Genomic DNA, 22,217 nt, shown 5'->3' on the forward strand with positions numbered 1-22,217 from the left:
GCTGTGTGAGTACTGCTGATGTTGATTCAAGGCTCAAGGGCTCTATAATCAACAAATAATGAATCCTGCCAGTACTGGGTCCTTCCTTTCAAGGTAGCAGGTTCCCTTCTGGCACGGGGTATGTCTAGAAAAGTCTTCTGGGAGCTAGGGCCCGAAATAGGGGCCCCAGAACTCTTCCTGCGGCCCTATTCTACTGTGGCTAAGCTGGTATCCAAGTTCCAAGACAAAGTCCTCTTTACTGTCTCCTCTCTTCTCCTCAGGTGGAAGGAAGGCATCTCCCAGAGCTGTGAGCTGCACTGCTTGGGGTTAGTGGAGGGGTGACGTTAGCACTCCCTTGGCCACCCCAGCTGGTGTCTCACTAGGTCACCAGCACCCAAAGTTTTAATATGATGTTAAAACCAGGTACTAGGATTGCTCACCTGATTTTTGGGTCTTATGAAGGTGCTTTCTTATGTGAATAGTTGTTCAGTTTGGTGTTCCTGCAGGGGGACAGGGAAACAATCGTTGGAGGGTATTATTTGACTATCTTGTTCCACCTTCCCTCGTAGGCTTTTTTCCCTTAATACAGCATTTTGCTGCACTCCATTTTATACATTTCTATTATCATTTTTACTCACTATTAATGAAAAATACATTCTCTTTTAATTAAAACATGTCAAACCATTTTAATGTGAGCCATTTTAATAAACGAACTCTCCTAGAACCTTGCTTTGAAATTATATACTGTGCCATTAATATTGCCATAATGGTAACCAGAAATTTCTGTCGCTCACCCAGCTGTTAAGATTTTATTTGAATTTTGCTTTAATGTAAATAGAAGATACTTATTTCCATTAATCTTCTTTTCAAATTACTCTTCAGTTTATCAGCTTAAAAAGTACCCTATAATTATTTTTATTTTCTTATGAAAAATAGTGTTTTGGGGGCTTTTGTTTGTTTTTTCATTTTGTTTCTTACTGCAGAAAATATTTCAAGCGCAGAGAGCTGTGATTTATTAGTATATGATATACAGGGTACATTACTTTGCATTAGCAAGGTCACTATTACTACTCTTTGAAGCCATAAAACAGAATTAAAAGAAAGTGGCGAAGATGAATAAGGAATAAAAAATAAGCTTTTAAAAAGAGATTTAAATCTGTTTAGCTTTAAAGTGGGAAGGAAGGAGGCACTCATTGTACTGAGAGTCAGGATACCTGGCTTCATGGGCTGCTGTACTGCCAGTGACTGAATCACTTTAGACAAGTCACTCCACTGTTTCCTAATCATAAAATGAGAGGATCTGAATAGATCAGGATTCAGCAACTTTTTTATTAAAAGGCAGCTAGTAAGTATTTTAGGCTTTGCAGGCCACATGGCCTATATCACTACTTAGCTCTGATATAAATGATACTGTATTTACATGAATAAGCAGGGTTCTGTTCAAGTAAAACTTTATTAACAAAAACAGGTAGCAGGCCATATTTGGTCCACAGATTATCATTTGCTGGTGTTTATACTAGGTGATCTTTTAAGATTTCTCATCTGGGTGCGATGGCCCACGCCTGTAGTCCCAGCACTTTGGGAGACCAAGGTGGGCTGATTGCTTTGAGCTCAAGAGTTCAAGACCAGCCTGGGCAACACAGCGAAACCCTGTCTCTACAAAAAATTAGCCAGGAGTGGTGGTGCACGCCTACTCGGAAGGCTAAGGTAGAATCGCTTGAACCTGGGAAGCAGAGGTTGCAGTGAGCCAAAATCACACCACTGCACTCTAGCCTGGGTGACAAAATGAGACCCTGTCTCAAAAAAAAAAAAAAATTTCTTTTGCATCTACATTCTGTGATATTGCTTTATTATCAACATCATGTATATGAAAGGGACTGGTGTTCAATTCTTTTCTATCCTGTATCATTTAGGGGCCAGTCAGGAGACATAAAAGCATACTTATTTTAACAGAATAAGGGTTGAATTTGATAATATAAATAATTGTTGGCTGGTCACGGTGGCTTATGCCTGTAATCCCAGCACTTTGGGAGGCCAAGTTACAAGGATCATTTGAGGCCAGGGGTTCAAGACTAGCCTGGGCAATGTGGCAAGGCCCTATCTCTACAAAAGAAATTGTTTTTAAATATTAGCCAGGTACAGTGGTGTGCGCCTGCCTTAGCCTCCCAGCTACTTCGGAGGCTGAGGCAGGAGTATGGCTTGAGCCCAGGAGATTGAGACTGCAGTGGGCTGTGATTGTGCCACTGTACTCCAGCCTGGGTGGCAGAGTGACTAGTTTATCTCAAAAAAGAAAAAAAAAATCATTAACTAGGTTTAAAGAACTGAAAAGGTAGTAAGAAAACCTTGAGGTATCATGGATTTAACAACTGCAGGAAGTAGTTACCACCTGTGGACCTGAGGAAACAAAAAGAGGCAAGAATTATTAAACTATACAAGATTGGAAGAAAGGCCTCACAAAGCTGACACTTACATCTCCATGAAGGGGATCCTGCTCAGCTGAGGCTAATACAAGGGCTCCAAGAAGGGTTCTGTGGAGATTAGACCCAGACCACTAAGAACAAGGCACTGGTCACCCAGTGCCAGTATCTGAAGACGTGAGATGAGGTTAGTCCCGCCTCCCTTGGAAAAACTGCAAACTAGATTCAACTGCTGCTCCTGGAATGAACTGCCAATGCTTGGCTGAACAAGTAAGACTAGGGTAATGCTGATAGGAACAGGAAGGGGCAAATTATTTCTCCAGTAACCTTAACAATTAACAAAGTCCACCTTTTTGGCTAACCAGCATCCATACTCACCCTTCTATATTTATTTGAGCTTCCAAACTATACATGTTTGAAACTCCAAACATTTTCAGCACAACAAACTCTGTATTTTAACCTAACAAGATGGAAGTATCTTTCATGTAATTGAAGACATATTTACCTCTCCAAAATGAGGCTAGTTCCAACAGTCACTTTAACTATGTTTAGATGATATAACACTATCCATCTCTGGCTATGTTAATTATTCCTCAAACTCTGACACAGTCCTATCTGAATGGTTTGTTATCTAAAAACTAAATTGGAAACTTAATTTACATCAAAACTTGTATTTATAAAATAAGGGAAAGGAGGCGAGAAAAAGAATAAATTAGTATAACACACACACACATATATAACAAAAGCAAGGAACAAAATATGCATAGCTGCTATAGTCGTCATTTCTGTAGCTAGTTATGAAACTGAGATTGATTTTTTTTCTTTAAGAGACAAGAGTCTCACTCTGTCGCCCAGGCTGGAGTTCAGTGGTGCTCACTGCAGCCTCAAACTCCTGGGCTCAAGCAATTCTCTCACCTCAGCCTCCCAAGTAGCTAGCACTACGGACATGCGCACTATACCCAATCAGTTTTTTTGTTTGTTTGTTTAATTTTCAGAGATGAGGTCTTGCTTTGATGCCCCGGCTGGTCTTAAAAGTCCTGACCTCAAGAGATCCTCCCACCTCAGCCTTCTTAGTAGCTGGGATTACAGGCGCAAGCCACCGCACCCAGCTGATATTTGTAACTTTTTTCATCTACTGCCTATCCCATGTGTCCTTTGCCCTAAGCCAGGACCACATCTAGTCAGGGTTCTTTCCCTGGTAGGATGTCCTAAGTCTTCATTCTTGATGGGTCTGAATCCCTAGTAGTCCTCTTTTTTTTTTTTTGGTAGCTACATAGATATCGATAAAGAATCAAACAAAAGAAAATAGACTTCAGTTAAAGCAGGAGGCATTGGATTAAACATAAGAAACAACTATGGGCCAGGGCCACCCCCTGCATCTTGGCCTAAACTCCTCTCAACCCCCAAAAAAGAAAGAAAGAATTCATGGAAACATTAGAACAGCAATAGGGATGGTTTTGTCGTTGTCCCTAATGTTTTAAAATAAGACATTAGATACCTCTTCTGGGTAGTTTTAACTTCAGAATGCTGAGATAAAGATTTTTTTTAATACTTTTGCTACTCTTTTACTCTCTCTGATGTAAAATGTGGCATCTAACTTCCCTTTCTTAGTTTAAGTTCCCTAAACTAGCTTTCAAATACTTATTTCTTTATAGAAATTATATCTACAATTTGGATAAATTCCTTTAGCTGGGTTTCCAGTAGACCTAGATAACTAAGACGGGAAACATAAAGCGTGTGTATTGTTAAGCACATTTTAATCGGCTCTTATCATAGTTGAGCACAGAGAAGAACATTAACGTTATTAAATGTAAAACTCTATATATTAATAGTGATGAGCTGACTCTGAATTTTCAGCCTGCCAAGAAATCTTTTAAAAAGAGCTTTTACTGCAAATCTTGCTTATTTAAGATAGAAAAGTAGGATAATTATATATTATAACTAAATGAAGATCAAATAAAAGCAGAGATCTAGAGCAGACAGGACACATCCTGGCAATCTTTATGATAACTGGTCCAAAGTGTCAGTAAAATAATTGGGCATTTCAGAGTTATATTATAAAAGTTGGTTCAAACACTTAATTATAAAAATGTCTTTTGAAGCTTAAAGTACCATAAAATGTGCCAATTATATTTCACAGAATATCACTTTGATTTCTCTGTAAATCAAATCTGAGTTGTTTATTTTTTGTTGTATTTATTCTTGAAATTAGCTGATTCTACCTTTTAAACCAAAGAAAGCTAGTGTAATCTACCATGTTATAGAACAGGAAAGAATTTTCCTCTGCCTTTGTAGATGCAGTACAAAAGAAAGTCAGCAAGCCTGTTCTTGAAACCATACTTTACCCAAACAGCCCTTGGTCCCCTTTCAACAAATTAATTTAATAAGCATTTTTGAGCACCTATTTTATGCCAGGCATAATGCATTTATTGAGAATAGAATGTAAATAAGACATAGTCCCTGCTCGTGTAGAGCTATTAGAATTCTACAGCCTAAGCCATACTCAGATGTTGAAAGATCGACAGGTATATCACTCTGCTATTGGTACAATAATGCTGTGTAACAAACTATACGGAAATATAACAGCTCAACATAATCATTTATTTGTACCCACTCATCTCAGGTTAACTATGGATTGATTGGTCTAGGCAGTTTGGTTAGGTTTGGCTCCAAGCTGGAGACTGGCTCCAGATCTACCTTATTCTATCCTCCTTGGACCAGTGGGCTAACTGGACATATTCTTTCATAATGTTGGCAGAACCAAAAAAGACAAGCCCAGTTCTACAAACACATTTTAAATCCTTCCTTGTATCACATCTACTAATATACCATTAGTTAAAGCAAGTCAAATGATCAAACCCAAAGTCAAGGGCAGGGAAGTGTACTCAACCTCTGATGGGAATTACTGCAAAATGGGATTCAGGGTCTGGTGGTGAGAACTGCAAAGACAGATGAGAAAGAGCATGTATATAGGAAAGGCTGAAGAACTGGGGGCAGTATTTCAGTTTGCTCCAGGCATGTTTTGGGGAGCAGCAAATGCAGAGATAACCAGTAGCTCCCTTCCACTGCCTTTTTTGGACTATTATGACCAAGCAAAATGCCAGTATCACCAGAGTGTTTCACCTCGCCTTTGCAAGGAGAAACTGGGTTATCATTGTGTCTTGAATGTTGAGAACTTGGATTGAAAGCTTCATTGTAATATTAAACTTATTTAATTGAGTAATTTGGGGAGATGGTATAAAGTTAAAAGATTTCTCAACTTTTTGTGTTGAGAAACTACCTATTTTTATAGTAGTGTATATGGAAAGTAAACTGCTAATAGTGTGTGTGGCTTGCTGGCATTGGAGAGGCACAGGAAAAGAGCAAAGAAGTCATTACCAGCCTGGGCAACAAAGAGAGACCCTGTCTCTACAAATAGTAATTTTAAAAAATTAGCTGAGCGTGGTGATGCATGCCTGTAGTTCCAGCTACTTGGGAGTCTGAAGTGGGAGGAGACCCTGAGCCTGGGAGGTCAAGGCTGCAGTGAGCCATGACTGCACCACTGCACTCTAATCTGGGCGACAGAGTGAGACTTCGTCTCAAAAAAAAGGAACTCATTACCTTCTCCTGTTGCCAACATCACTCCCAAATATATTTACCATACTCTAAATGTCATGATATCAAGAGTTTACTCTGTTAGAATAGTCGCAACAGTTTCTGAGCTCTGTGTAGTCCTTGGGCAGAGGAAGATTTTTGGTGAAAGCTTCTGCTTAGAATCAGTTACAGGTTGAGTATTCCTAATCTGAAATGCTCCAGATTCATAAGTTTTTGAGTGCTGACCTGATGCTCAAAGGAAATGCTCATTGGAGCATTTCATATTTCAGATTTTTGGATTATGAATGCTGAACCAGTAAGTATAATGTAAACATTTCAGAATCTCCCACAAAATTCAAAATTTAAAACACTTCTAGTCCCAGGTATTTCAGGGAAGGGATACTCAACCTATATCAGTCTTCTTAATCAACTGACTTGTCTCCCTGGGCCAATGGTATGGCCTCTGTTTGGGATTAATGACCCATTTTCAGAGCTGCTGTGGAATACATATGAATTGGAATCTATATCTGTGAAAAGTAGGATATCCTAATACAAAGGACTCATATAATGACTAATGTTTTGTAACTACTTAGTAAGTGTTTTAGGTAATATTTATGTTCAAAATATCCAGGAAAGGAAGGGAGATGATGCTTGTAGTAGTAGTTTTAGTAAAATTAGGGGAATAGTTGTGCTCAGACTCTCCTAATATTATTATCTTCATATGGGAGAGGCCAAAAATTACCCATAGGGATTCTTAGCAAAGACATAGAAATCTTCCAAGCATCTCTCCAGGCAAGAAGCCCATGCATTTCTCTTAAGAGACTAGACAGAATGTCTTCATTGTTACACTTTCTGTTTTTTTTTTGTTTCCCTTTAAAATAAAAGCCATAATTCAAGAAAAGCATGTTGCACACTACCCAGCACATTACAGGTGTTTAATAAATACATGTTCATTCCTTTTAGTTCTTTTCACCTTAGTAATAAACTTTTAAAAAGATTATTCCTTCTTCTTTTTGATATAAGCAGAAGAATCATCTGTACCATCAAGAGAAAGAGAGGGTAAGAGGTAGAGAAATAGAACCATATTGCTAATAACAAGAGTTATGCAAAGTTGAAATATGGTGTATCAAGAGATAGTGACATGTTCAGGCATAAGCTATACAACTACATTGAAAAAGATAACAGAGTTGAGCATTGCACAGGTGTTGGATGGGATAGCCCTTAAGGTCCATTCCATTCCTGTAATTGTAATAAAATATTAATAAAATTTTAATAAATTTTTAATAAAATATTCTTTTGACTGCTATCTGCTACATTCTTTAGTAAAATGTTTCCTTGCTCATCTTTTTTCTTTCCTATACACTGATTAGAAACTATGGTAAAAGTATTGTTACGGCACAGTGCTGACATTTTTTTACTAACAATTTTGTTATATTTGTTAAATGAATGAACAGATTAACAAATGAATATCAGTACCCAATGTCAATCATCATAAACAACTTATATATGAGGTTGGAGATGTAAGTTTACTTACTGTCATAATTCTTGTTTCCTTATGCTGAGGGAATTCTGAGCTGTCTCCCCTTCCTTTTTTGCTTCTTAGTTTATATTGAAGAGCTTATTTATAATCAGCTATTTGGTAAGGTAGTATATATCATTGGTGGCAAAATTGGATTTCTTGATTAAAATTTTGGATTATAAAGTTTTTGAGGCAAATGACCATGTAATCTCAACACATCATACAATACAGAAATATACTCCCCAAGTATTTGGTGGCAAAACATTTGAGGCCCAGCAGCCATAAAAAGATAATCTTAGGGGTTTTTTTTCCCTCTCACCAACTCAAACCAGTTGTTAGTAATAAGTTGGTAGCTAATATTTTCTTCCTTTTTTTGTGGTGTTATTGTTGTTGTTGTTTGAAACAGGGTCTCTCTGTTGCCAAGTCTGTAGTGCAATGGCATGATCATGGCTGGCTGCAGCCTTGACCTCCCAGCCTCAATCAATCCTCCCATCTGAGCCTCCTGAGTAGCTGGGACTACAGGCGCACACCACCACGCCTGGCTAATTTTTTTGTGCATTTTTTGTGGAGACAGGGTTTTGCCATGTTGCCCAGGCTGGTCTTGAACTCCTGGGCTCAAGCGATCCACTCTCCTCAGCCTCCCAAAGTCCTGGGATTACTAGCATGAACCACTGGTAGCTAATATTTTCAAACAATAAAATGGATACTCTAGTATTTCTTATAATTTGAAACATTTTTGTAAAATGAATTTTTTCTTTCACTCAGTTTTTAGTAAAAACCCATTTACTATTTCTTTTGATAACAAAGAAACTTCCTTTTTGTTACTGTCTCTGCAGCTTTCATGATCCAGACATTCAGAGGCAAGATGGCATTTTAAGCTTTTGGACTAGCATTTTGTTTTTCATTTTAAATCTCAAATCTACCATTATCTATTTCTTTTATGAAGTAAGGGTTTATGTTTATTTGCTTAGTTTGTTTTGCTTTTTGAATAGGAAATATTTAATCCCTCTGTTTAAGGTTATAGAACCTCTTAGCAAGCACAGGTTTATTATGTACTGTCTTAAAGTAGCAAGTGAAATGAAGGGTTAATATTTTTTACAAACCACTTATTTGGATTTTTAAAGGCATAAAATACATGTATTTTATATATATTACATATTTTGCATATATATTTTTTGGCTGGAGTAAGCCCTGATTCCAAAGTTCCGGAGATACAGACTAGCTGAAAGACATTTTCTGAACTTAAATATTCTAACTAAACTTTTCTTTCTTGTCAGCCACCAGCTCTGCCCACTTGGAAGACCTTGCTTACCTGGATGAGCAGAGACATACACCTTTGAGAACTTCTCTACGAATGCCAAGACAGAGCATGGGTGGTGCTCGCACACAGCAGGATTTAAGAGGTTAGAACCACAGAAGGGCTTTAAGGGTGCCCGGGAACAGATGGAAATGGGCAAAAGCCAAAAAGTTGCTTTGTCTCCTATTCCCATACTTACTTAAACCTCCCTAAGAAGTGAAATGATCCATTTTAGCATGTGACCAGTTCATTTCTGCTGAGTCTAGAGAAAGATAAACACAAATACATTGTACTCCTCATAGACAGGCATTGTGTAATTATCAACATTTGGAAGCATTAGTTCCTCGAAATTCTGAAAGAAAACAGATGTAAAGGGGCTGTGGTAATGGGGGAAATAACCTTTCTAAGATCTTGGATTTCAGAAGTGACTGCGGACCAGATTCAGCCCTAGCCATATTGCAGGTGAACTGTGCTGATCATAATGTACAGGTTGAGCATCCCTAATCTGAAAATCCAAAATGCAAAATGCTTCGAAATCCAAAACTTTCTGAGTGCCAACATGACACCACAAGTGGAAAATTCCACACCTAGCTTCATGTGATGGGTTGCAGTGAAAACTTTGTTTCACAAAATGTTGAGTAAAATTACCTTCAAGCTATGTGTATAAGGTGTGTATGAAACATATGAATTTCTTGTTTAGACCCAAGTCCTATCACCAAGATCTTTCATTATATATATGCAAATATTCCAAAGTCCAAAAAAATCTGAAATTCAAAACACTTCTGATCCCAAGCATTTTAAATAAGGGATACTCAGGCTGTATTTTGCTAGGGAATTTTTTTCATTTTTGTTTTAGTGGCCATTTCTAGTAACATGCAATATTTTATTATCTTGGTCTTTTAGAAAGTGCCTATAATCCTGGCCTAGCAAGAGCTACACAACCTATCCTTTTCTCACTCAGGTACCTGTTGCCTTACCTTCTTTGTGGCATGCTACATGCTTCTCCAAGCTGGCACCAGATCTTTTTAAAGACTGTCATTTTGTTACAGTGATGGTCTAGTTGAGGAGCCTCTTATTGGTATTTCTATGCCTCTCGTTTGCTCAAAATGAACCAAACTGTCTCTGATAGCTTTTAACAGATAGTCTCCTTTCTCTGGTATGTTAGCAATCTCTATCTCTACCACAAGTGTGTTTTTAATTTTATCTTACGGATGATTTTCATCTTTCTTTAGCTCTCCTCTTCACCCCTTGTCCTATTCCCTACTCTAAGCAGTATAGTGCCACGTGCACAATTCCCATGGGAAGGAATTTATACATGTCTGCTGTCCACTCTAGACATCATTATGCTAACAGTTTTTCAGTGATGGCTAAGCAAACAGGATTTTAAAATAATTGATTGTATTGCAACAATTACCATACCTCCCATCAACAGCAGTTAGTTGATAGCCTCAGTCATACTTTTAGTTCCCAGTCCTTTTGTCCATCCTGCTTGCCAGTTCTTCAGTTTGTCATATACCAGTTGCATGGCATATGCAACTGTGTGTTTACAGTCCAGAAAATGGAAATATATCAAGCACTATTTTAGACTAATTACATCTAAAGTCTGAATAAAGTTGATCAAGAGACCAAATAATTGATTTGCGCCCCGACCAGAATGCACAGCCGTAATAAAGAAGATTGGACAGAACTACTGATCTATATGGACCTTCAGATTTGATTGAAAATCTGCCACATTGGCATCATCTTCCATCTTATTACTAAAAAACATACTGACATTGTTGACTTTATTTTCTGCTTTACTAATCATTGAATAATAGATGTTATACTACATAGAAAACAAAATTATTTGACAGATTTCAGCAGTGAAATTTTTGGGAAACCTTTATATTGAGTTCTGTTGATATGTGGTAGTACCTATCTGCTTGTAGTATCTGAAGATTTAATAAGGTCTTTAACAGATACATTCTGGTGAGCTTGATGTTTACAAATACCAGTTTTATCTGGAATGCAACAAAGATCTTTTCCATTGCATTGATCTTCAGCCGAAGCATTCAGTGAAACAACAAAAGCACATTCAAAGATTTTCCCAAAGCTCACCTAAATCTTTAGGAAGGGCTCTGACTGAATATTGAATTTCTAAAAATACTAATTTCATATTCCTTGCAAATAGTGTCTTAACTTATTGTTTACATTAATACTTAGGCTGGAGTTTGTCCATTGATGAAGATGCTATGATGTTAGTATTTCAGTTCCTTGAAGTCATCTTTATTTTTCAAGAGCTTTCCTTTTAGCAGTCTAAACGGTTAGAACATGCCATCCAGCTGGGTACATTGATCCATAAAAAGCAAGGTGTTTACTTAGCAGTGTAAAGTATACTAAAACTAGTAATAACTTTAATTCAGAATTTTCAGAATTTAGAGTCCCTGAACAATAATCCTCTCTCAAAAAGTAACATGTTATCTTAATTATTGTTTACAGATGAATTGTATGGCTTAGGATACGACTTAAAACACATTATCAAGAAAGGAAAGCAAACTTGGGCAGATAAACTTTCCTTATGTTTCTTCAGACCTGCTTGGCAAGCCTTTATAATATGTGATTATTATATCCACAATGTTGTACTTTATTTCAGAAAAAATCAGATTTGTTTTCCTGGAATAATTTTTAAAAACATGTCACATCATGCTTTCTAATTTTATTTAAAGGAATGTACAAATTACAGTCATATTTCAGTTTGACATATTTTTCTTCTGATTATGATTAAAATGAAACTACCCCCAAAAAAGTAATGAAATGATTGAAAATCTTTTTTAGTCTGCATTAAGGTATATCTTTCCACTTTAGAATAGAGGTGTATCTTTCATACATTTTAAAGGAGTACTCTGACAAGTTCTGTGAAATAGGTTTTTTTTAACTTTTAAGTTTAGGGGTACATGTGCAGGTTTGTTATATAGGTATGAGTCATGGGGGTTTCTTGTACAGATTATTTCATCACCCAAGTATTAAGCCTAGTATCCATTCATTATTTTTCCCAATCTTTTCCCTCCTCCTACCTCCTCCCACCAGTAGGCCCCAGTGTTTGTCATTCCCTTTTATGTGTCCATGCGTTCTCATCATTTAGCTCCCACTTACAAGTGAGAACATGCGGCATTTGGTTTTCTGTTCCTGCATTAGTTCACCAAGGATAACAGCCTCCAGCCTCATCCATGTTCCTGCAAAGGACATGATCTCGTTCTTTTTTACGGCTTCATGGTATTCCATGGTGTGTATGTACCACATTTTGTTTATCCAGTCTACCATCAATGGACATTGAAGTTGATTCCATGTCTTTGCTGTTGTGAACAGTGCTGCAGTCAACATATGTGTGCATGTGTCTTTATGATAACAATTTATATTCCTTCGAATATACCCAGTGATTTCACTGGATTGAATGGCCGTTCTATTTTTAGATCTTTGAGGAATTGCCACACTGTTTTCCACAGTGGTTGAACTGATTGTGGAAAACACTCCCACCAACTGTGTATAAGTGTTCCTTTTTCTCCACAGCTTCGCCAACATCTGTTATATTTTGGCATTTTATTAACAGCCTTTCAGACTGTTATGAGACGGTATCTCACTGTGCTTTTGATTTGCATTTCTCTAAAGATCAATGACACTGAGCTCTTTTTCTTTTTTTTTTTTTTTAATTTTGCTTTAAGTTCTGGGATACATGTGCAGAACATGCAGGTTTGTTACATAGGTATACATGTGCCATGGTGGTTTGCTGCACCTATCTACCCGTCATCTAGGTTTTAAGCCCCGCATGGATTAGGTATTTATCCTAATGCTGTTCCCACCCTTGCCCCCCCCATCCCCCAACAGGCCCCAGTATGTGATGTTCCCCTCCCTGTGTCTGTGTGTTCTGCCATTGAGCTCTTCTTCATAAGCTGGTTGGCTGCATGTTTGTCTTCTTTTGAAAAGTGACTGCTCATGTCCTTTGTCCATTTTTTTTAATAGGGTTATCTGTTTTTTCTTAACAAATTAATTTAAATTTAATTAATTAAATTTCTTAACTTAAAGTTCCTTGTAGATGCTGGGTATTAGACTTTTGTCAGAGACATCGTTTGCAAAATTTTCTCCCATTCTGTAGGTTGTCTGTTGACTCTGTTGATAGTGTCTTTTGCTGTGCAGAAGCTCTTTAGTTTAATTGGATCCTGTTTGTCAATTTTTGCTTTTGTTGGAATTGCTTTTGGTGGCTTCATCATGAAATCTTTAAATCTTTGCCTATTTCTTTATCCAGAATGGTATTGCCTGGGTTGTCTTCCAGGTTTTTATAGTTTGGGGTTTTACATTTAAGTCTTTAATTCATCTTGAGTGAATTTTCTTATGTGGTGTAAGGAAGGGATCCAGTTTCAGTCTTTGCATATGGCTAGCCAGTTATCCCAGCACCACTTATTAAATAGGGAGTCCTTTCCCTATTGCTTGTTTTTGTCAGTTTTATTGAAGACCAGGTAGTTGTAGGTTTGCAGTCTTATTTCCTGGTTCTCTATTATGTTCGGTTGGTCTATGCGTCTGTTTGTACCAGTACCATGCTGTTTTGGTTATTGCAGTCCTGTAGTATAGTTTGAAATCAGGTAGTGTGGTGCTTCCAGCATTGTTCTTTTTGCTTAGGATTACCTTGGCTATTTGGGCTCTCTTTTTGGTTCCATATGAATTTTAAAATAATTTTTTCTGGTTTTGTAAAGAGTGTCATTGGCAGTTTGATAAGAATAACATTGAATCTTACCAATTACTTTTGGCAGTATGGCCATTTTAACGACATTGATTCTTCCTATTCATGAGCATGAAATTTTTTTTATTTGTTTGTGTCATCTCTGATTTCTTTGAGCAGTGTTTTGAAGTTCTCCTGATAGAGATAATTCACCTACCTGGTTAACTGTATTCCTAGGTATTTTATTCTGAAATAGTTTTTTAATCACAATTCTGGTTTTAAATGATCCTAGAGATGGTAGTTAATGCTTATATACACTGTAGTATACCCAGTAGATAACTAAGTTTATTGACTGACTGATTTCAAGTGTAGAGAGTGTCTGAAATAATATCCTCTGGATGTATGTCCAAAGAACATTTGAGGTGACAAGCCATGCATTGATTGGGAACTTCATATAGGCAGAATCTTGTACTATTCTGTTAAGAGCAGTGTTTCTCAAACTTTTTGGTCCCGGGAGCCTTTTATACTCATAAAAAAATTACACAGGCGGCTATGGCTGTCCCTGTAATCCCAGCACCTTAGAAGGCCAAGGTGGGAGGCTTACTTGAGCCAGAAGTTCAAGACCAGCCTAGGCAACATAGGCAACATAGCCTAGGCAACAACCCTGTCTCTACAAAAAAATTTAAAAATTAGCCATGCATGGTGGTAGTCCTAGCTACTCAGGAGGCAGAGGTGGGAGGATCACTTGAGCCTGTGAGGCCAAAGCTACAGTGAGCCATGAGCCATTATTGCTCCACTGCACTCCAGTCTGGGTGATAGAAGGAGACCCTGTCTCATTTTTAAAAAATTATTGAGCTTATATTTATATGGGATAAATTGATATTATCATATTAGAAATTAAAAATAATATGTTAAATATACTTTGTTTAAAATAATGTTTTAAAATAATAATAGGGATTGTTGAAATAACTCATTTATTCATTTTTTTATAAATAATAGACCCATTACATGTTAAAGTTATGTAAGCTGTGGAAAATTCCACTGTACACTTGTGAAAGAATGAGAGTGGAAAAAGGCAAATAACCTCTTAGTACTGTAAATATAGTTTTGACTTTGCAAACTCCAAGAACATATCTCAAGAATCTAGGGATCCCCAGATGACGCTTTTATTTTATTTTAGGATCACAATGTTTAAAAACAAGTTTTGTTGGCTCTACACCTCCAAAGAGCTCCCAAATCCAACTACTTTTCACCTCCTTCAATACTGCCTCTCACTGAGACTATTGCAGTAGGCGAGCTTAGTGGCTCTCACAGTGTGGTCCTGGGACCAGCAGGAGTGGCATTATCTAGGAAGTTTTCAGAAATGCAGATTCTTTAGCCCCATTCCACACCTACTGAATCAGAAATTCTGAGAATGGGGCTGGCAAGCCGTGTCTTAAACCTTGCAGGTGATTTTGCAGATCACACTTTTAAAACCACTAGTTTAGAGGATGTCATTGTAATTGAAGATAAGCTTTATGCCTCAAGGTCCATCAGTCTATTTACAAAAGTGCAAAAATGCGTAGTTTGAGAGCTGGTTACATGTTATTCATGAACATGATTTAACAATACAGGCATAATTAATTTAACAGGTGCCTTAATAGTAACTGCAGTTGTTTGATGATAATGGTAGTCTTTTGACTGCTGAAGCAGAAGTTGGGATAACATCTCCAAGTGGGATATTAACATCAACATTGCTTCATTAGTTAAAAAGTCCTTTTTTTTTTTCACTCTTCAAGACAGCTGTTTTGAACAACTGTTCTACAAAAATTGATATTTCCAGAAACCCGGCCCAACGGGGGAGAGGTCATGTGAGTCAACTGTCCAAAGCAACTTAACAGATTCCTAGCTGTCAACCATCCAAGAGCTTGAATACTAATGATAAAAGTCATAGAAGATTGTGTACTAGTACAGAGTATATAGCTAGCTAACCTACTACAAGCGCCTTTTCTAGTCCCAAAGCCTAATGTCTTTGATAGATATTAATTTGAATTAATTTAACTAATAAAGTTTTTAACTTAAAATTTTAAAATTAGGCTAGGCATGGTGGCTCACACCTGTAATCCCAGCACTTTGGGAGGCCAAGGTGGAGGGATCACCTGAGGTCAGGAGTTCGAGACCACCCTGGGCAACATGGTAAAACCCCATCTCTACTTTAAAAAAATACAAAAATTAGCCAGGCATGGTGGCGTGGGCCCATAGTCCCAGCTACTCAGGAGGCTGAGACTTAAGAATCACTTGAACCTGGGAGGTGGAGGTTGCAGTGAGCCAAGATCGTGCCACTACACTCCAGCCTGGGCAACAGTCTCAAAAAAATTGTTTTAATTATTTTTGGCTTCATGTTTTTAAATTTAATCACCATTAGGTTAATGTGGAGTTATGCTAAAAATTATCCACCTGAAAATGTCCACTCTTTCTGATCATCTTAATGAAAGCTCTCTCATTCCGCAGAGAAAGATAGAAACTAAGTTTGCTGCCTATTACAAGGAAGGAAGAAATAGTTTATTTTTATGGATAAATGTAATAAATCTTATGATGGATTATATAAAGGGAACCAGGAGGAGTTAAAATATACAAGGCAAATTGTAGCATAGTGACTTTGAATGGTAGCTACGTGGGTTAAATTAACAACAAATTATTAATATTGAGACCCTAACCTGCCTGGTCTTAAGTTACAACCACACTCTTCTACTTGAAGAAATTATATATTGCTAATTAAAACTTCATTTCTCAATATATGGTGGTTTCCTTAGAACTTTTACTAAATCTCATTACATAAAAAGCCATTCAGAGGCTTTGTGTTTAGTTATTAGCTACTTTAATAGACACTAGGTTGGAGGGCATATGTACAAATGATAGTCTGATTCATTGGCAGAATTTATGTGAAATTGGCCCTGCCACAGTTAACTTGGTTTTATCAAAGCAATAAATTTAATTTTTATCAAATCTGTGCTTCACACCATTTATGAGTCCCGTACTGTTCTGAAACAATGAATCCTTTATGATGATGACTAAGATGCATGTCATGAAGCTAAATGCTCTTACATTAGCCTACTGAGTCACACATCCCTGAGGTTGCTTAGTCATCTTGATCATTGCCTGGCTGGCTCTCACATTTACAAGGGAATATTTCCATCAGTCTTTTCTACCTCATTGTTCATTATTTCATCCCTACAAGTAAGATTAAATTTTCTTAAGTAGATTCAAAACCCAAGGATAAGGTTGCATGCACATAACTTCCTATAGTAAATATTATATGGGTAGATTGTAAGTTTTAGTTGTATGAGGTTGTTCCCCTCACCCCCAACCAGCTCTTCTGCAGAGAAGACTGTGAAGTAACATGAACAAAACTCTCATCATGACATCTAACTCTGCAAGATATCTCACTGGAAATACTTTAAAATGCCTTGAGTGCAGTAAAGAAAAATAACACACTCTTAACCTATTTTGATGTTTTGATCTAAATTAAAGAATAAACTTCCCAATTAATCTTATTATTTTCCTCAAAAGTGACTAGGTCTATTAAAGTAACCATAATGCCAATAAATTTACTTAGATAAGACTTTGCAAAAAAATTTTGTAATTCAGTAAAATGATCTAAGTTTTTTAATCTTGTAGTATATAAAAGGTTTGTTGTGAAATAACTTCCCCAGATGCTCATAAAATTACAGAACTAGATGATTTCATTTTAAGGCCACAAACGAAAGGCTATTTCATCAATGAGAGTTCACTTTAAAATGTTTTATCTTAAATTTCAACGAATTAAAATACCCAGTTTTTATATTCCCAAAAATAAATGTTGTATATCACCTTAAAAGCCAACACTCTAAGAGCACAATACTTAAAACAACTGTATTGCCATAGTTATAAATATTTTATCAAATATTTCCTATTTTAAAACCTTTACTGTTTTATGTTTTCTCTACATTTTCAGGTATTAAATGTGAGGAAGCATATAAAAAAGCAGCAACCTTTGGGAGAATTGGGTTTTCCCTTTCTTTTTTTTTTTTTTTTAACTGTTCTCCAAAGATCTTTGTTCTCTTTCTGAAAATTCCACTCAGCAGTGACTGCAGATTTTTCTCAACAAATGTTTTCCCATAAGACCAATGTCAGAAAGCTGAAATTTAATATGGAAGTTATTCAAAGATTCAAAGTAAGATTTTTTTCAGAGTAAAATAAGCCTTCCCCCTTTTTTATCCCCACATTAATAGAAGGCAATGGACTTTTTAAAACACTAAGACAAATGTTAACAGTGAGACACTCTTCAAAAGGTGTAAAAGTGATAGCATACATTTATTGGAGTTCTTACTCTTTGTGGGCACAGTGCTTAGAGCTTTAAACATATTCTTATTTAATCCTCACAACTCTTTAAGTAGTGGTAATAAGGAAACTATGTCATAGACAACTTAATATAAAAAGCAATCGGTAATACAGTAATAGCAGTACATTGGCTTATGGTAGATACTCTGTACTCTGCGGTATTGGAGATGGCAAAGACTGTTGAATATTTCAGCAGGAGCTGTGGTCAGAGAGGATACTTGATTCATTCACCCAAACCAGCTTCGACTCCTCTCTTCCTAAATAGTACTTCAGTTTTCCTCTCACTTGAGCTTTAAATCTTGGAGTCAGCATTGAAGCACCATCTACATTATCTCCTATATGCAGTCAGGACCAGACCCTGAGGGTTCAGCTCTCACAGAGTTTCTCACATTCTTTCCATATTCTCCATTCTCAATATTGCTAATTAGCTTGCCTCCCTCCTCTGGTCTTTCCATCTTCTTCTTTTTTTTTTTTTTTAACTTTTATTTTAGGTTCCGGGGTGCGTGTGAAGGTTCATTACATAAGTAAACTTGTGTCACGGGGGTTTGTTGTACAGATTATTTCGTCACCCCGGTATTAAGCCGAAGACCCATCAGTTATCTTTTCTGCTTCTCTGGTCTTTCTGTCATCTAATCAGTATAATGCCTGGCTGCCAAAGTAATCTTTCTAAAATGCAGCTCAGAATCATGTCATTTCTCTGTCTTAAGTTATCATTGCCAGCATCCTTGTTCAGTTAGTGTGCAGGAATAGAAATTAGCAACATTTAAAAGCAGTTTTGAAGAAAACAAGTTACAGTTTATTACCTTTAAAATTAACTCATTGATACTTAAGAAAAGCTAAAAAAAAAAAATTTAAAGAATAGACACTGCCAGATGGACAATGAAATGGAACATGTAATGGAAAAGAACTAAAGGAACAGAGATAGTAAGATAATGTATAAGAACATGCCAACACAATGCTTAATGAATTTTATTAATTCAGCAAAAAAAAAAACAAAGACTAAAATTATTTCTATGCCAGATGAGTCATCAGTATTTGGCATCAGTATTTTTAGTACTTAAAAAGAGGTAACAGGCCGGGTACAGTGGATCGTGCCTGTATTCCCATCATTTTGGGAGGCTGAGGCAGGAGGATCACTTGAGGCTAGGAATTCGAGACCAGCCTGGGCAACATAGTGAGACCTGTCTTTACAAAAACTTTAAAAATTAGCCATGCACGGTGGTACACGCCTGTAGTCCCAACTACTCAGGAGGATCACTTGAGTCCAAGGCTGCAGCTTCAGTGAGCTATGATTGTGTCACCACACTCCAGCATGGCTGACAGAATGAGGACCTGTCTTAAGGAGAAGGATAAGGAGAAGCAACAGAGTAACAAGGCAATCTATGGAATAGGAGAAAATATTTTCAAACCATGTATCTGATAGGAGTTAATATCCAGAATATATAAGAAACTCCTACAACTCAGTAGCAACAAAACAATGTTTAAAAATGGACAAAGGACTTACATAGACATTTCTTCAAAGAAGACATACAAATAGCCAATAGGTATATGAAAAAATGCTCAATATCACTTATTGTCAGGGAAATGCAAATCAAAACCATAATGAGATAGTACCTCACACCTGTTAACATGGCCATTATTTAAAAAAAAAAGAAAGAATAACAAGTGTTGGTGAGGATGTAGAGAAATTGGAACCCCATACACTGTTGGTGGGAATGTAAAATGGTGCAGTTGCTATGGAAAACAGTATGGAGGTTCATCAGATATTTAAAATAGAACTGCCATATGATCCAGCAATCCCACTTCTGGGTATTTTTCCAAAAGAACTGAAATCAGGGTCTCAGAGATATTTTCACTCCTATGTTTATTGCAGCATTATTCACAATTGCCAAGAGACAGAAACTACCTAAATGTTAAAGGATGAATGGATCAAGAAAATGTGGTCTATATATCAATGGAAAAGAGATCCTGTAATATGCTACAATATGAATGAAACTTGAGAACATTCTGCTAAATGAAGTAAGCCAGTCACAAAAGGACAAATATGACATGATTCCACTTACATGAGGCATCTAAAGTAACCATCAGAATAGAAAGTAGAATAGTGGTTGCCAGGAGCTGGGGGAAAGAGGAAATGGGGAGTTCCTGTTCAATGGGTATAAAGTATCAATCATGAAAGATGAAAAAGTTCTAGAGGTCTGCTGTACAACATTGTGCTTATAGTTAGCCATGCTGTACTATTCACTTAAAAATTTAAGAGGGTAGCTTTGTGCTTTAATTAGCCTCTCCCCCTATGGAAGAACAAACATCAGGAGTAGGCAACAGATGGCACTGAAACGTGAAGGTGAGGGGAAGTCCATGATGCTGCCAAGACTCCTGAAAGTGATTGAGAAATGTGTAAAGTGAAAAGACTTGAGCAGAGTTCGTCATCAAGAATGGGAAGACAGGATGAAAGCATGACCATCACTAGCATTTACTGAGCATTTACTATGTACCAGGTTTCATGCTAATAACTACATTATCATGACAGCCCCATGAGGTATATGTATCCCCTTTTACAGAGTAAGAAATCAAGATGGAGAGAGGAGTTAAGTAATTTGCAAAAGGTCACAGAGTTGTTATGTCTGAGCATATAACCTACCCTGATATAATACCTGTGGTTAAATGATCTTAGGGGCTATAAATTAGAAACAGAGGATTGTGACCCAAAGGAGAGGTAAATTAAGATATATAGAGAGTGTAGCTGATCTAGTAAAAGGAAAAAGCTCTAAGCCTTGCTAGGAAATACTAAACTCCTGAAACCCCATGCTTTTATATAGCACCTGTCATATCACATAATGTTTTCAAAGGACTGAAAGTCTTAGACTAGGTGCAGCAATCCTCACTGGTGAGCACTGTACAGAAAGGACACCTCAACAAGGAACATAGTGTTTTCAAAAATAAACTGATTGTTCCCAAGGAGTCCCCCCCACCCATTTTTAACTTTTATTCCCCTATGTCTTATGAGTGAGATAAAAGTTTTAGATCAAATTCTAGAAAGGTCTTAGATTGAGAATCATCAGCTCTAGAGAGTTCTTTTCAGAGACATGCCTGACTTCATTGACCCTGTTTTTTACGAAAGATTATGGGGAAGTGGGGAGAAATGAAGTGGCAAAGGGATTCTGTGAAGGAACAAGGGAAATAACATTTGAGTCATGGTTAGTTCATAGTCAGTATCACTCAATTCTCATATGTTTAAAATCTGATTCACGTAAAGCTTTTTTTAGCACTAAGAAAGAATCTTAAAGATTTCATCCAAGTCCTTTGTTTCACATTTAATGAAACTGCCTCCAAAAGCAGTTAATTCCACTTGCCCAGGGTAATAGAATAATAAACCATGAACTAGAATCCAGATCTAACTTAGTTCATTTCTCTCTTACCCTCTCCACGATTCTGTTACACTCTCGAATTTCACAGATTTGCCAAATCTCAGGATGAAATGTACTTTTCAGTCTAAATAGTTAAAACTAAACCCCAGATATGTTTTTTAATTGTTGGGTAAAAAAGTAAAACCTAGTTTTTTTTTAATTCAGTTTAGGTATTGACCTACTCTCTATATAGAATAGACTGTAGGCTGCCAAGTAAATATCATATCTTCTTAATTATTGAGGATGTCTGCTAATAGTGAAGGTTGATCCTTTCCCTCCTCTTTTTAAAAGAGTTGCTTTTTTAAGAGTCCTTCCCACCATCCTTTGTAGTAATTAATTACTAAGATATGATGAAAATATCTGTCTCCTAGCTTAGTCACTTTTGTTCTTGCTTTCTCCCTTTTTTCTTTCCACTAAAAATGACTTGTTTAAATACATCTGTTACTTCTTTGTCTGATTCTGTTTATTAGCAGAAATCTGATAGGGTTAGAAAAATTGCTAGGTAGATTTTATGTAATACTGATCTATAGGGACAGGTTGCTCTGCTGAATGCTTCTGGAACTTCAGTAGGTCTTTTTTACTTTGGCTAACACCTACCTATAAATAGGTAGCTATACTGGCTGTACTGTAAGAACTACTTGCTGAGAATTTTTAAGCTAAAAATATTCCTCTCAGAGTTAATGAGGTAAAATCATCATCTGGCACCTCTGGCCTGACAAATGAATGCGCACTTTGCTAAAGCATTTTAAAGCCATAATAAAAACATGTCTGAATTCCAGCTTTTGTTAGTGGAAGAATTGCCTTTTTGGACTAAGCCTTCCATGGATAACAATTAAGAATTATGAACAAAATACAAAAAATAACTATTTGAAGGCACTGGAGAGTGGCAGAAAGCAGATGGAAGTGGGAAGTGAGTTTACATTTGAAATATAGGGACCAAAACTTATATTTGGAATATAAGGACAAACTTGTATTT

The 22,217-nt window shown here is 36.8% G+C and overlaps 1 protein-coding gene across 21 annotated transcripts in view; it reads left to right on the forward strand.

The window, feature by feature from the left end:
* The window catches only part of TANC2 (tetratricopeptide repeat, ankyrin repeat and coiled-coil containing 2), a 461,469-nt gene that overhangs the window by 292,748 nt on the left and 146,504 nt on the right, over positions 1-22,217 (forward strand). For all 21 annotated transcript variants that reach the window (XM_011524597.3, NM_001394998.1, XM_006721810.4 and 18 more), the window contains one exon: positions 8,766-8,891. In XM_011524597.3, the coding sequence (XP_011522899.1) occupies positions 8,766-8,891 (126 nt within the window). The remainder of the gene's footprint in view (positions 1-8,765; positions 8,892-22,217) is intronic.

Source organism: Homo sapiens, chromosome 17 (genome assembly GCF_000001405.40).
Source record: "Homo sapiens chromosome 17, GRCh38.p14 Primary Assembly".
In the NCBI taxonomy this organism is placed as follows: Eukaryota; Metazoa; Chordata; class Mammalia; order Primates; family Hominidae; genus Homo; species Homo sapiens.